This window comes from Homo sapiens, chromosome 11 (genome assembly GCF_000001405.40).
Source record: "Homo sapiens chromosome 11, GRCh38.p14 Primary Assembly".
Taxonomy (NCBI): domain Eukaryota; kingdom Metazoa; phylum Chordata; class Mammalia; order Primates; family Hominidae; genus Homo; species Homo sapiens.
The window spans coordinates 57325110-57338784 of NC_000011.10; the positions used below are offsets into that span (position 1 = coordinate 57325110).

At 50.4% G+C, this 13675-nt stretch overlaps 2 protein-coding genes and 1 non-coding gene across 11 annotated transcripts in view, besides 5 other annotated features; 1 reads left to right on the forward strand and 2 right to left on the reverse strand.

Annotated features, from left to right (window-relative positions):
- Positions 57-106: an enhancer, noted in NCBI's record as "active region_4714". NCBI's record gives its function as "activates an Ori minimal core promoter by ATAC-STARR-seq in GM12878 lymphoblastoid cells {active_cell/tissue: GM12878}" and the evidence as "EXISTENCE:reporter gene assay evidence [ECO:0000049][PMID:35858748]".
- Positions 136-1009: an enhancer, noted in NCBI's record as "OCT4-NANOG-H3K27ac-H3K4me1 hESC enhancer chr11:57092719-57093592 (GRCh37/hg19 assembly coordinates)". NCBI's record gives its function as "activates a minimal SCP1, AML or CMV promoter by ChIP-STARR-seq in naive H9 embryonic stem cells {active_cell/tissue: H9 hESC(naive)}" and the evidence as "EXISTENCE:reporter gene assay evidence [ECO:0000049][PMID:30033119]".
- Positions 879-10783, reverse strand: SSRP1 (structure specific recognition protein 1). Of its 4 annotated transcripts, none has more exons than NM_003146.3 (17): positions 10621-10783; positions 9959-10131; positions 9354-9539; positions 8326-8431; positions 7850-8040; positions 7516-7746; positions 7274-7377; positions 7043-7171; positions 6559-6780; positions 5746-5818; positions 5182-5320; positions 4984-5029; positions 3188-3317; positions 2603-2773; positions 2317-2405; positions 1594-1780; positions 879-1369 (listed from the first exon to the last, which is right to left on the reverse strand). In NM_003146.3, exons 2-17 carry the CDS (start codon positions 10010-10012, stop codon positions 1298-1300), a joined length of 2130 nt encoding a protein of 709 aa, NP_003137.1. In that variant the 5' UTR covers positions 10013-10131; positions 10621-10783; the 3' UTR covers positions 879-1297. The 4 variants fall into 4 exon arrangements, with proteins under 4 accessions (NP_003137.1, XP_047283454.1, XP_016873669.2 ...); XM_047427498.1 differs by having other exon boundaries at positions 9959-10138; XM_017018180.2 differs by having other exon boundaries at positions 9959-10783.
- Positions 3750-3852, reverse strand: LOC124902831 (small nucleolar RNA U13). The gene has a single exon (XR_007063016.1). It is a non-coding gene; the product is annotated as a small nucleolar RNA U13 (small nucleolar RNA).
- Positions 9952-10021: an enhancer, noted in NCBI's record as "active region_4715". NCBI's record gives its function as "activates an Ori minimal core promoter by ATAC-STARR-seq in GM12878 lymphoblastoid cells {active_cell/tissue: GM12878}" and the evidence as "EXISTENCE:reporter gene assay evidence [ECO:0000049][PMID:35858748]".
- Positions 10522-10701: a silencer, noted in NCBI's record as "silent region_3345". NCBI's record gives its function as "represses an Ori minimal core promoter by ATAC-STARR-seq in GM12878 lymphoblastoid cells {active_cell/tissue: GM12878}" and the evidence as "EXISTENCE:reporter gene assay evidence [ECO:0000049][PMID:35858748]".
- Positions 10841-13675, forward strand: part of P2RX3 (purinergic receptor P2X 3) — a 36447-nt gene continuing 33612 nt past the window's right edge. For 4 of the 6 annotated variants that reach the window (XR_949950.3, XM_011545072.3, NM_002559.5 and 1 more), the window contains exon 1: positions 13243-13560. Coding sequence is in view for 4 of the 6 variants with exons in the window: in NM_002559.5 (NP_002550.2) it covers positions 13442-13560 (119 nt within the window). In the remaining 2 variants the exon portion in view is untranslated. The other 2 variants (XM_011545070.3, XM_011545069.3) reach the window with 2 other exon arrangements.
- Positions 10872-10921: an enhancer, noted in NCBI's record as "active region_4716". NCBI's record gives its function as "activates an Ori minimal core promoter by ATAC-STARR-seq in GM12878 lymphoblastoid cells {active_cell/tissue: GM12878}" and the evidence as "EXISTENCE:reporter gene assay evidence [ECO:0000049][PMID:35858748]".

A 13675-nucleotide genomic window follows, 5' to 3' on the forward strand; every position in this document is an offset into this window, starting at 1 on the left:
GAGGCTTGCAGATGAGGGGCCCGCCCCAGTCTCAGACCGGGGCGAAACTGACGCAATTCAGCCGGGAGCGCTCGGGTAAAATGGCCACCGAGACGACTGCCTAGAGAAACTGCCTTGGCGGCCCCTCCCGGGCTCCGCCGCCTGCACAGAGCACAGTATCATCGAGCTACGCCGGCAAGAAGGTAGCCGCCGGCTGACTGAAGCGGCTTCCTGATACAACCACCTGAGTGCTGAGAACGCGCGCAACGTGGCCACCCTCCTGTGTCAATTCAGATTTAGAGCCACCGTGAAGAAGTCTGGCAGCTCTGCATTCCTCATTAGTGACCTTTATCTCCTTTTAGGCCCCTTCTCAGACATGGGTTCCTCCCTACACTGAAGTTTGTATACCCCCTTCTTCCCGTAAGAACAAAAGCTTCACATATAACTCCGTACTTTGTTGCACCACCACCAGGCTGCAACCACCACCACTCTACGCACACGCTCATCCTCCCCGACTCTCCAGGCTCAGGTTTCCACTCCCCCGGCTGCGGGAAGGACAGTCAATCCTGATTTCATTATCGAAAGCCTTGGAAGACCCTTGACTCATAGGTAAGGATGCAGCCAAGAGCTGCCTCCCCCTAGCTTGGTTGGCTAATGGAGTGTAACTGGGAGAAACTTCCTAATCAGATCAGCTCTCATTTCTAGACTCTCAGGTGGCCCATCCGGGCAGAGGCGGGTGAAAACCAATGCTCGTCCAGCCGGGAACAGAACAGGATGTACCTCGAGACTTGCTTCCCGGCTGGCCAGGAAGGCCCTGCCCAGTCTGACCAGAGCAGTAAACACCACCAATAAAAGTGGGAGCAACACACCAAGGCTACAAAGAAAGCATGAGGACATGGTTTCCAAAGTCAGTTCCCTTTATTAAATCATTTTCACAGACCAGAAATACAAAATGAAAGTAGAAATAGGCCCCAGGTAGGAGCTACAGGCCTGGCCTCACATGACCCCTGCTCCAGCAACTTGAACAGGACAAGCAGCAGCTACATCCTTAAGGTCGGGAAAGTAAGATGAGGATTTGGATCCTGCATTGCCCTGCCTCCCACCCTATCTCTCCCCAAATTATAAACAGCCATCCTTGGGAAGCAGCAGAGTTAAGACGTCTCCCCACTGCCCTAGTGACATACACACCAACAGGAGAGCATGTTCAGATGGCACAGAATCCAGGGACTGCATTTCATGAGGAGAAACTGGTACCAAAATATGGGTGGGGAGTCGGGGGGTGTGAGAAGGCAAGCGCAAAGAGAACCTTCCTCCGTTTCTACTCATCGGATCCTGACGCTGAGTCCTCTGAGCTGGGGGGAGTACTGGCTAGTTCTTCTTCTTCAGAGTCCTGAAAACCAAAGGTGTCTTAAGGGAAAAGCTGGAGTCCTGGGTGCCCCACCCACTCTTCAGTGAAGGGCCCGCAATTCCCTACCGCCCCCAACTACAGCACCCCCCTTCAGAACCTCAGAATTCCACCATCCACTCCAACTCATTACTCTTACAGACCAACCCCACACAGACACACATGCCCCTCACCCTGCCCAGCCCACAGGCCCCACATTCCTGCCGCACCTCGCTCCTCCTCCTCTTCTTTTTGCTCTTGTTCTCTCCCGAAGAGCTCTCATCACTAGACACAAACTCTTTGCTCTTGAAGCTCTCGCTTAGCTGCCTTGAGGACGACTTGGATGATGAGCCCCTAGAGGGCGTGGATTTCTTTTCCATCTTTACCTTTACTTTCTTCTTCTTCTTTGACTTGTCCCTGTATTGGCAAGAGGGAAGAGGAGCTGGGCCTTCAGGTCCCCTGTCACCATGACCAAACCTCTCCCAGCTTTAACAAGGCCTTTCCCAATCCCAGCCACACAGCCCATTTCACTCTGAACGTAAATAGCTGCGTCAGCCTGGAGGGCACCAAGGGAGAGTATCATGAGTACACCAGAAGAATCAGAGGGCACAGCCTAAAGCAGCCCAATGTGCAAAACCTACTTGATATTTCTTGCTTTATCTTTTAGAGTTCATGCAAACTGTGCACTGCACTCCATAATAGTATTTTTTTCGTTCCCCCATACCTTCAAATAAAATGGTCCAGGAAAAGAGGCCATATTTCCCCAGTGACTTGAATGCCCTATTGTGTCACCCATACTTGGGCAATGGCCTACCCAGGTTTGAGAAGCACTACCCTACTGCAGTCAGAAGCATCTCTGCTGTCTTTAACTTTCCAATGCTCAACTTCGGCCTGTTAAAAAAAAAAAAGTCTGCCACAAAAATCAGTGACTGGGCCATGTTCTCGACACTCACCTCTTAGAAGACTCGCCTCGGCCCCCTTCATATTCTTTCATGGCTTTTTCATAGTCCCTCCTGGCATCCTCAGCCTTGCGATCCCACTCCTGTCTCACACACAGAAAAAAACAGTTAAGAATAAGACCTCTCCCATCTCCCCTCTCCCCTGATGCAGGCAAAATCGATACAGAAAGTCCCACCAATGGCTCATACTGCTCCCCTATCAGTCATGAGACTCGCCACCCCAAGACAGCACCTCTCGCCAGCCCATGAGAGGCATCACCCCTCCTCTGCTGCTACTCACCTCTTTCTTCTCTTTGGACATTCCCTTCCAGATCTCGCCTGCCTTCTTGGAAAGATCCGTGATGCTGATGCCAGGATGGTCTGACTTGATCTTCTCTCGGCTGGCATTGAGCCACAGCATGTATGCAGACATGGGCCTCTTGGGGGCATTGGGGTCTTTGCCCTTCTTCACCTACATAAGAACCCAAATGCCTTCAGCTATTTCCCACAGAACCCATACATTTTCCCAAATAAATTATTTAGATCACTTAACTTGGAGAAAAAGTGGAGGACTAAATAGCATCAGGCGAGACGAGAGCTCCCTAAGGGCAAGGATAGTATCTCCTTCCCCTCTGCAATTCAGTGCCTAGCTTACCAGGACAGAAGCCCATCTCCTAATTCAGACCTTCCAGAAGCTTATTAATCTCAGGGCTAGTGAGAAAAATTTCCAAGAAGATAACCCTCAAGGCTATAATCACTGGCTATAAAAAACAGCCCCAAGGAAGAACAGGTCCTACTGGTGGTGGACAGGAGAAGGTAAAGAGAATGCCTCCCACGCCCCCCACCCACTGCACCACACACAGGCCCTCCCATCTACAGTCTGCACCTCCACAGGCTTCTTGCGGCTCTTGCGGTCCTTGGCCATCTTGGCCTTTTTGAGCTGTTTCCGCTTCTTCTCATCCCGGTCACTGTCACCCTCATTACTGGAGGAGCTGGCAGAGGCGTTGCTGTCAAACCTGCCAGAGAACAAGCCAGGCTTAGACTTGAGGAGGGAAGACAGGACCCCACGGCCTCAGGACAGGAGGAAGACAAATCCAAAGATACCCACCCAAAAGGGGCAAGGGAGGAAGACCAGAGGACAGTATCCACCACCAATCCCCAACACTGCTTTCTCCCATTCACTGTGGTGGCTTCAGCCATGCCCTCTCCAGACCCAGCCACAGCAATTGGTTACTTGATTGGAATTAATGAATGAAAAACAAATCAATGAGCTTCAGCGGATCTCCCTGGGCATGGCCAAACCAGGTCCTAGTCCATCCCCAGGACACCACTGGCAGAAACACTGCCTCATTCATGCCTGGAACATGGCCCAAATCCACTTCACCACTTCCCTCGGAGTAATCACCTTAATCTACCCTATAGTCTTTTTTGTCTTCTTTTTTTTTCCATGTCAGATGGGTAATGTGTCAACATCGTAACAAGGCTGGAGGGTGGCACATTTCACACACGCACGTAACACCCAACCATTATGTTTATGAACTACAAAAGGATTGGCCCCTACAGTCTTCTGATGAAAAGATAATCAGTTACTACAAAAAGAGGAAAACCAACTTCAGTCCAACCCAGTGCCTACCCCTGTAATTGACAGTCTTGTCTGATATATGTGAAACTCCTCAAACAATGCAACTACCTTACACCTGTATGCTGCTGGACAGTCTTCAAGGCACTTTCACAAGTATTTGCTCATTAAACCTTCATAAACCTTCATAAGCATGTGGCAGGCTGAACTAGAGGACTCCTGTTGGGTGTTTTTTTTGCTGCCCGACATTCTTTTACAATCCTTCTGGATTAAGAGAGCAGAGTCCCAATTTTCTGTTGGGAACCACCTTGCCCCCACTCAGGAAGGGCTTACCCCAACCACAGGCTCTAAGGGTGGGCACTTGGCCTATTTCTGGCCCATCAGACCCCAGCCCATTCTAATAACTCAGGCTAGAAAGGGGCAGGTAACCACTGTGTTCACTATGCTGTTCACCAAAAGAGGCACTTCTGGTGTTGTTTTAAACCAGTAGGATTAAGCCTGCCCTGAGCTTCTGAGAGTCACTGGGCACCCCATGGGGTAAACCTATTTTTAATTAAGGAAATCGGAAGAAATAGATTTGAGCGCCTGAATCCAGTAGTGTCTGAAGCCAATTAAATCCCCAGACTCCGCAGTAATATGAACTTATGAAATTCCCTTTTATATGTTCCCTTTTAAAGTGAGAGTGAATCACATTTCTGACACTGCTAACAAAAAGTCTTAACCAATTTAGCAGGGGTACTACTGCATTTCTACTGATGAGGAAATTGAGATTCAATGACTTACTCGACAACCCCCAGCAAGTAAGTGGCAAGCACCAGCTCATTCCCATTCTCTCCTCATCCAACTACGAACCAGCCCCAACTGGCACATTCAGGGCGGTATGGCCATAGATCCCACTATACTTTTCCGACTTCAAAATATGTCTTGCACTTACAAAGCCCTTGACAATTTCCAAAACATTTTCGTATATCACCTCATTGGAGGTCACTCTCCCATTCTGGGTCAGTAGCTAATGCTGGGACCTGAGAAATGTCCAGAAATCTTCTGGTCCCTTAAGCTTATGGGTCACCATCTTATCCCCACAAGGTACCACCAAAACTCACTCCTCTGCCACATCTTCCTCCTCTTCACCTGGGTTGAATGACTCATCTGAAAAAGGGCACAGGATGCATCAGCTTCTGCCCCAATGGAAATCCCCCCACCTCACCCAGGCACCCAGCTCTGGCCCAAGGGTGAGTCCAGCCCGGGCCACAGCGAGGAGCGTCTGACCATCCTCGTGCTCAGCACGGAGGCTAACCCACCGGTTTCTTCTCCTGAGTCATCGCTGCTGTCATTGGCATTCTCCTCCCGGATCTTGCCTTCCTCCTTCATCCTCTCCAAGTAGGCATCATGCTGGTCCTCATCAGAGTCAGCATATTCATCGTAGCTTGGGTTCATGCCCTAGCCAGGGAAGAGTTCACGGTGGGGCCAACTCACCCTCGAGCCAGAATCCCTGCACACTCAAAAGCACACCCCCATGCCTGTCAAGTCAGAGCAGCAGCTCCCAGAAGACCTGGGGCTGGATTGTCCACACACAGCCAACGTGCAGGGCCTATGCCCAAGTACTTCCTGCCAACTGGGTTAGTCCAAGCCCCAAGCCCCTCCCTCTCCCAGCCCCACTGGGGGCTCCTGAGGGGCTGCATAGACTGGTCTAAGGTCATGCAGAGGAAACCTGCACCAGGAGGGGGAAAGGGTCACACGCACCTCTTTTTTCTATAAGGGTAAGAAGAGAAGAAAGAGTGAAAAAGAAGCCGGAAAAAATCTCCACCCCTTTCTCCCCTATAGAAAGACCAGGAGAGGGTCTCATCCTCCCCACACAGAAGTACCTCTTTCAATCCTCGGTTTTTGATGTTGAGCTTTTTCGCGTTGACAAAATCAAACAGTTTCCCGTACTCCTCCCTGTGAGGGGACATGCACCATGTTACCAGAGAGGTAGTGCCAACACAGGGGCACACTAAACAATGTTCTGATTCCATGAGCTGGGGTAGACTGTGGAGCCTGGAGCTCTTGACTATGCTACCCAACCCAACAGCTTAGAAACCCCCAGAGGACAGCAGTAAGGCAGAGCCAGAGCCAGACATTAGTCCTGAAAGAACTGCATGGCTTTGAAGAACTCTGGGAAAGGAAAGGCAGGGAGGGGTGCGCATCTGTTTACAAAATAAGCTCAGAGGGGAGTAAGTGTGGGGCAGGGGACGTGGTCATCTTTTTTCATACTTCACAAGGTTGATATGAGGATTACACGTGAAGATGCTTATAAAACGTTTAGTCCACAGTGAGCACTCAATAAGCATTAGCCGCTATGTTCTCAGGCACAAAGCTCATTCCAGGAAAGAAAGAGATAGCATTTCCATCATGGTGGGGAGTGGAGGAGAAAAAAGACCAGTAGCGAAGACATATAGCTTTCAGAATACGGAAAAAGTTTTTTTTGTTTTGTTTTGTTTTGTTTTTTTAATGACCAGAAAGAAAGCAATGGAGAGGTTTCTAAAGTCTGAGCACTCCAGGGAAAAGGACCAAATCCTGATGTAGCAAAAGAAAAATTCTGCTCTAGGGTTGGAGAGTGCCCCAGGCCACGCCAGCCTTCCTAGACAAAGCTGGCTCGGGACCAGGATGCCCAGGAAGTGACAGGTGGAGGTTCTCACCTCTCAATGCTGCTGAAGGTATACTGAGTGCCCTGCTTGGTCTCAATTTCAAAGTCAAAGGAACGAGTAGTAGTGGTACCACGAGCAAAGTTGACAAAGGAGATCTCATCGAAGCGGATGTGCACAGGTGGCTTGTGGACGTAGATGAAGCCCCGCTCCAGCGGGTAGAGCAGTCCTGAGCTTGCCTTGTAGGAACAGGTAATGCACTGGGCCCCTGAGTGCCTGACAGAGGGTGCAGGGAGCCTGGTTAGTGCCAACCTCAGCAGAGGCAAAGGGCGTATCTAGCAGCAGCGACACGAGTGCTCATGTCCTCGACTAAGTAAACCTCACTGAGCTGTTCTGACAGAGGCGCTGGCACCTATTGTGACACAAGGTCCCATCCAGGCCTCTAGGAGGCCGCATTCCCATCTCAGGAAGGGTTTACCAAGGAGACACGGCATTTCCCATACCCAGGCAGGGCAGGATCCCAGGCCCACACTCTCACCCTTGGAAGTTGCCTGGCACTGTGATCTTGCGGTTTACCAGTGCTTTCATGACCCGGCTGACCATCTCATAGAGGGATCCTGACATGTTCTTGGTGAGCCGACCCTCAAAGCGCTTCTCCACTTCTTCCCTACAAAGAAAGCAAGGTGAGGTCACAACACTACTGCCTTCTAATGGCACACCTGTCTCCTGCCTGGACAGTGGTAGGAAACGAGTCCAGGGAGACACTCACTCGTTCATGTTCAGAGTCAACGAAATGTCCTCGTCCTTGGAGAAGAGGAGGATCAGGAAGTGGTAGCGAGTTTGGCCTTGCTTGATTGGGGGATCCAGGCTGATCTAGTAAGGAAGAGTACTAATTGACACTCTACAACAACTTGCAATTAACCAACGTAGAATTCTGCACACCAGTGAGATCCATCTACTTAACACTTAGGCAAAAACCAGGATTATCCGGCCATAGGGGTTTCTGCTTACCACAAAGAACATCTGGCGCTGGTCCTTGTGGGGTAACAAAAACAGACGCAGTACTGTGGTGTAGGGGATCTTGTAGTCAAAGGTCTTGCCATGCAGGTGCAGAAAGGTGGGGTAGATCCGAATGTCATAACGACCACGAGGAGTCAGACACTGCAGCTCCCGGAAGATGCAGATGGCATCTCCCGTGGCCTGGATTACATCCGCCTTTGACAACACATTCTGGGCAAAGGCCTGCAAAAGCACATATTGGTAGCCAAGCAGCAGGCCCTGCTCCCAGGCCAGCCAATGCCTGCTCAGCACCATCTGCTGCCAAGGCAACCAGGGGAAGCCTCACCTCAACAGGGTCCACACCATCCTCCTGGGTGGGTGGGACGTAGAAGCGCACCTCCATGAGAGACACCTCTGCGTCATCGTTTTGGTGGAATTCCAGTGTCACCTCATTCTTGCCTGTGGTGCACTGGGACACATTGCTGAGGGGTATCTCAAAGACTGGCTGGTCACCAATGTCAAAGGAAAGCAGCTGCCCTGTGAGGAAAGGGCTTATCCAGCCACAAGCTCCTCCCCTTAAGTCTGCATAAGCAATATTCCCACCAAACTGAGTTCCACAGAGACAGGATACTGCGGTTAGTCTGTTTAGACTATAACCCCAACCCCAGGCAGTATACTGTAGGTACTCAATAAACACATGATGAACATGCAAATAGATAGGAAACCAGAGACAGTGGCAGAGGGAAAAGAGCAAAACAAGTAAAAGGCTGAAACCCTTCACCCTATCTTCCTCCCCAAACCTCAGTCTTCCCCAGGACTCACCACCAAATTTCACTGTCCCCCAGTTCCAGCCCTTCACACAAAGGTCCTTCTCCATTAGCTCAAGGCGATAGTGAGTTTTGAAGAAATCAGAGAGTTTCTCAAACTCCTGTGGGTGGAGGGAAGAAAGCACAATCCCAGTAAACCTTGGTGGCCTTAACACCGACTTGAATGTCCTGGGATTATCTATTTCTGAGAAACTGCCCCAAATAGGCTTTATAAGAAATCCATGCTGACTTAGCAACCCAGCTCATGGTAAGATTGTTGAAAGAGATTGCTTCTAGCCACTGGATCTGACATTCCTGGTTACGGGCCATCTGACTTTATAAACTTTGTATAGGTATTACTTTAATGAAAGTGGAAATTAAAATCAAATAAAGCCTTTAACTCAAGCAGTTCAAAAAGGAAAACAAAACCCACACTTTAAGATATCAAGCTAGCCAGGCGCAATGGCTCACGCCTGTAATCTCAACCCTTTGGGAGGCCAAGGTGGGCGATCCCTTGAGTCTGAGAGCTCAAGACCAGACTGGGTAATGTGGCAAAACGCCGTTTCTACCAAAAATTATTAAAAATCAGCTGGGCATGGTGGCATGTGCCTGTGGTACCAGATACTCAGGAGGCTGAGATGGAAGGATTACTTGAGCCCAGGAGGCGGAGGCTGCAGTAATCCGAGATTGCGCCACTGCACTCCAGCCTGGGTGACAGAGCAAGGCCCTGTCCCCAAAAAAAACCAAAAACACACATACACACAAAGAAATCAAGCTAAGATTCTGAACCTTGATAAAAGCCACAGGCAGAAACTACTATCTAAATCAAGACAGAAGAAAATCTTCTGGAGTCAAGGCACACAGAAATTCACAAGACTTCAACGCTCAAAGCCAAACACTGATTGCCTGATGGCCTCACAGCCCTGCTCTAAGGAGCCCAAACTAGCAATCACAGGGTTACATGAGGAAGGAACCTCGAGTCTCTAGAAGATTAAAATAAGAAGATGCAGTAAAAAGGAGGCTTATAGCCATGGGACATCTCACCGATTCTCGGAAGCCATCATACTTGTAGACATGGCCATTCTTTGTAAGCAGTTTAAGTCCATGGCCCAGAGCAACACGGCGCCAGATACCTTCTGTTAACTCCCCAGCCTGGATGTTGTCCACTTTGCCTGTCTTGCTATTCTTGAAGATGATGCCCTGACGGCTCAACCTCAGTCGACCATCATTCTGTAAGAAAAGCAGGCCCAGATGCATGGAGACAGTACACAGCATGTCCTGGGTTCTACAGCTCTACCTAACACACATTCCTGCTGCAAGTGGACTGGCCAGATTATCAATGCAGGAGCAACAGCTGAGGGTGCCAAGGAGTCTAGATTCTAAACCAGACTCTGGTATCTAGAACCCTTAACAGATTCTCAGTTTCCTCATTTGTAAAACAGGAATTGGGAACTGAACAGCATATACGGTCCCTATAACTCTGAGACTATCTCTCAGTATTGCCTTGAGTTGGTGGAGACACTAGGTACACATTATACTGAGTCTTCTTTTTCCAAAATAACGTTACCAAAGCAAGCTCTCATTAATGGACAAAAACTCTACCCTCCTTCCTTCTCTCTACTTGTATCACCTGTCCAAGCCATTCTCACCATGGAACCTTTCACCTCCTGATAGACGTCGTTGAACTCCAGTGTCTCTGCCATGTCGACCCCTGCCTGTGGTGGCCTGGGCAGAGCCCCAGGCTGCACAAGGGAAACCAAGTAAACTGGGAGCTGGGCCCCAACTCCTGAGTGGGTGTGCGGATGCTCAGCAGGTTGGGAATCTGAATTCAAGAGGAAGACAGATAAGCATGAAAGACAGCACCTCGCTGTGCTCACGGATGGAGCCAGGTAGCAACTCCCAGCTGCGCCTGGATGTCTCAGGATTTCCTCTGCCTGGAAACCTACAGACGGACGCTGCAGTGCCCGAGGGTCCAGGTCCAGGCCTGGGTGGAGAACCGGGCCCGGAATACCGCTGACACCCAACCCGACGCCCGCTCTGGCCGCTCCGGCGGGAGCCATGGCAACGAGCAGCGGAACCCCAGGGTCTGCCAGGAGCCCGCACATCGCACGCGACCCAATCCAGCTCAGAGTGCAGGGTTTCCCTCGCACCGCTCCCACCACCCCGCGGCCCCAGACCCACGGTTCACCCCCGCCCCACATAATGGATTCGCCCGCTCCCCGCGGTTGCGAACGCGGAATGGTCCATGTCGAGGGTCCCGTGGGGGAGCGGGGCCCCTGCCTTCCTGGGACCGGGGACGACCACCACCTACCTCCTCAGGCTGCGGCCTCGCGAGGGCCCCGGCGCGAGAGGTGGGCGCGCTGGGGGGACGCGGGGGGGGCGCGGGGAGGGGGATGGGGGGACACCGGGGAAGCTTTTCCCGCGTGCGCGGCCCCGCGTCCCGCCACCGGAAGCCGTACACAGGCCACAGAGAGGATGAGCTGGCTAGAGAGACGCGAGTCGGGCCCGCCTGCGAGACAGTCGCATAGAGCGTCAGCGACTCTGGAGGACCTGAGGGAAGGGTGGTTGCCGTGAAGCCTCTCTCACCCAGGGGGAATCCGGCCTAGAAAATGTGTGTAGGGCTCTTTAGAAACTACAGACACTTCTTCAGTCGAGACTAGATACTAAAGAGAAATTGTGTAGTTTTATTGTATCAGACTTAGTACAGGGGTGGGGTGGGGGTGTGTATTGGAATGATGCGTGCCCGTTTCTCTGCAAAATAGTTTCTATGTCATGGAAAGGAGTCGATGGGACAAGAAGAGAAGTATTTGAACAGTTGTGGGAGGAAACGACCTCTCCCACTGGCTGCGGAGAGTATGCGGGTGTTGGTGTCATCGTGGGTGCACTGCTTTCTGGCTGAACTGTCAAGTTCACTGTCTACACCCAAAATTTTCACATCCTTAACCGAAAATTATAGGTACCTCCAAGAGGCTGGCAAACGGCCTTATCCAGTTCAAGTCCTGGTGTCAGATTCACCTTGGAGCCAGAACTGATTTGAAACCACATCATCCTGTGGTTGCGGAAGCCAGGTCTCCCCCGTATAATCCCAGAGTGCATTTTGCAACATCAGAGACCAGACCTGGAAAAGATGTTTTAGTTTTTCTACCCCAACCTCCTTTTACTGATGGGAAAACTGAGACCCAAAGGGGAGTGAGTTGCCCAGGGTCTCAGTGCGTTGGCAACAAGGCTAGGTAGGACCCAGACCTCCTTAACACCACCAGTCCAGTTATCTTCTGTCATAATCACAGTGACTGTATGTTCAGAATGACTATTGATATGTGTCCTACATGAAGACATTAGTACAGAATATGTAAGCTCAAGATTTCCCTGACAATCAATACACCAGCTTGCTAAATCAATCCTGGGGTAAGAGACAACAGGAATGCACCCTTCTCCCCTGAACTCATAGCTTTAACCTCTGAGTAGTGGCTATTCCAGCATTATCTAGCAAAATAAATTCAACTGGGTTTAATAAATAGATATTGAGGGCCTATTACTACTTTAGCACACTTCTCAGATTTGAGGAAACTTGAACAAGGTGAAAACATCCCCGGCCAGGCACGGTGGCTCACACCTGTAATCCTAGCACTTGGGGAGGCCAAGGCAGGGAGATCACTTGAGGTCAGGAGTTTGAGACCAGACTGGCCAACGTGGTGAAGCCCCGTCTCTATTAAAAATACAAAAATTAGCCAGGCGTGGTGGCGGGTGCCTATAATCCCAGCTACTCAGGAGGCTGAGGCATGAGAATTGCTTGAACCCAGGAGGCAGAGGTTGCAGTGAGCTGAGATTGTGCCACTGCACTCCAGCCCGGGTGACAGAGCGAGACTCTGTCAAAAAAAAAAAAAAAAAGAAAGAAAGAAAAAGAAAAAAAAAAGGAAGGGAAGGAAAGAAAGAAAAAAAAAAAAAACAGAAAAAAAAACCCAGCCCCAACCTTTCAGGAAAACATAATCTAACAAATGACTTTAATAAATAAAGTGACAGTTAAAAAAAAAAGAAGTTGGCACATATACACCGTGGAATACTATGCAGCTGTAAAACAGGATGAGTTCATGTCCTTTGCAGGGACATGGATGAAGCTGGACTCCATCATTCTGAGCAAATTATCACAAGGACAGAAAACCAAACACCGCATATTCTCACTCATAGGTGGGAATTGAACAATGAGAACACTTGGACACAGGGTGGGGAACATCACACACACCAGGGCCTGTCGCGGGGTGGGCGGAGTGGGGAGGGATAGCATTAGGAGATATACCTAATGTAAATGACGGGTATATTTACAGTTAACGGGTGCAACACACCAACATGGCACACGTATACATATGTAACAAACCTGCACGTTGTGCAGGTTTACCATAGAACTTAGAGTATAAGAATAATAATAAAAAGAAAACAAAACAAAAAAGACGTGCTAACTGCTATGCTACAGGTAGAGCGAAGCTCATTACCAGCTGGAGTTAGAAATATGTGACTCTTTACTCATCACACCCCAGAAGACCCAGAAAAACTTTCAAGAGACCTTTTCCCCCTGACCCATGCCACTGGGGGCAACTCAGGAAAGGAGGGGACGGCGCAGAACTGGGTGGAATTTGGCAGACACTCAGGAATGAAGAGGGTCCTTAGCTCAGGCAGGCTATTAGGTGACTGGGGGATGGGAAATTGCAAGGGGCTTTAGGGAGAGTGTGAGCAGCTGGTGAGCTGGGATGAGGATGCTGCAGAAGAGAACAGAACAGAAACAGTAGACAGAGTGCAGATAAAACATTAGTCCCAGAGGGCTCCAGCCAGCTACATCCCAGGCAATCAGGAGCCCAGGATTGGAGACCCCACCCCTGCTGTGACATCACAGGGGAGTGGAGTGGAGACGAACAAAAAGGGGGTCCCCCGCCCTGGTCCTGGCCTCTTGGAAGCCAGAGTATCAAGAGCAGAGAATCTCACTAGGATTGCATGGCTTAAAGGGACAGGCTCCCCATTCCTCCAACCCCTCTAAGCTGCCCCCTCCAGGTCGTGATCTCGTCTCCCTGTCCTGTAGGACCTCCCTCTCCTGAGGCCACCACTGGGCCCCCTTCTGAGTGTCCCCTGAGCACTCTCTCAGCATGAACTGCATATCCGACTTCTTCACCTATGAGACCACCAAGTCGGTGGTTGTGAAGAGCTGGACCATCGGGATCATCAACCGAGTAGTTCAGCTTCTGATCATCTCCTACTTTGTAGGGTGAGTCTGTGGCCTTTCAGGTTCCTGGCGGGGTGGGCTGCCTGGTATCCCGTCTTCACCCTCCTGCCTCGGTGCTACCATCCAGCTTCCTGAGCTCCTCTGCTCCTGGGGGAAA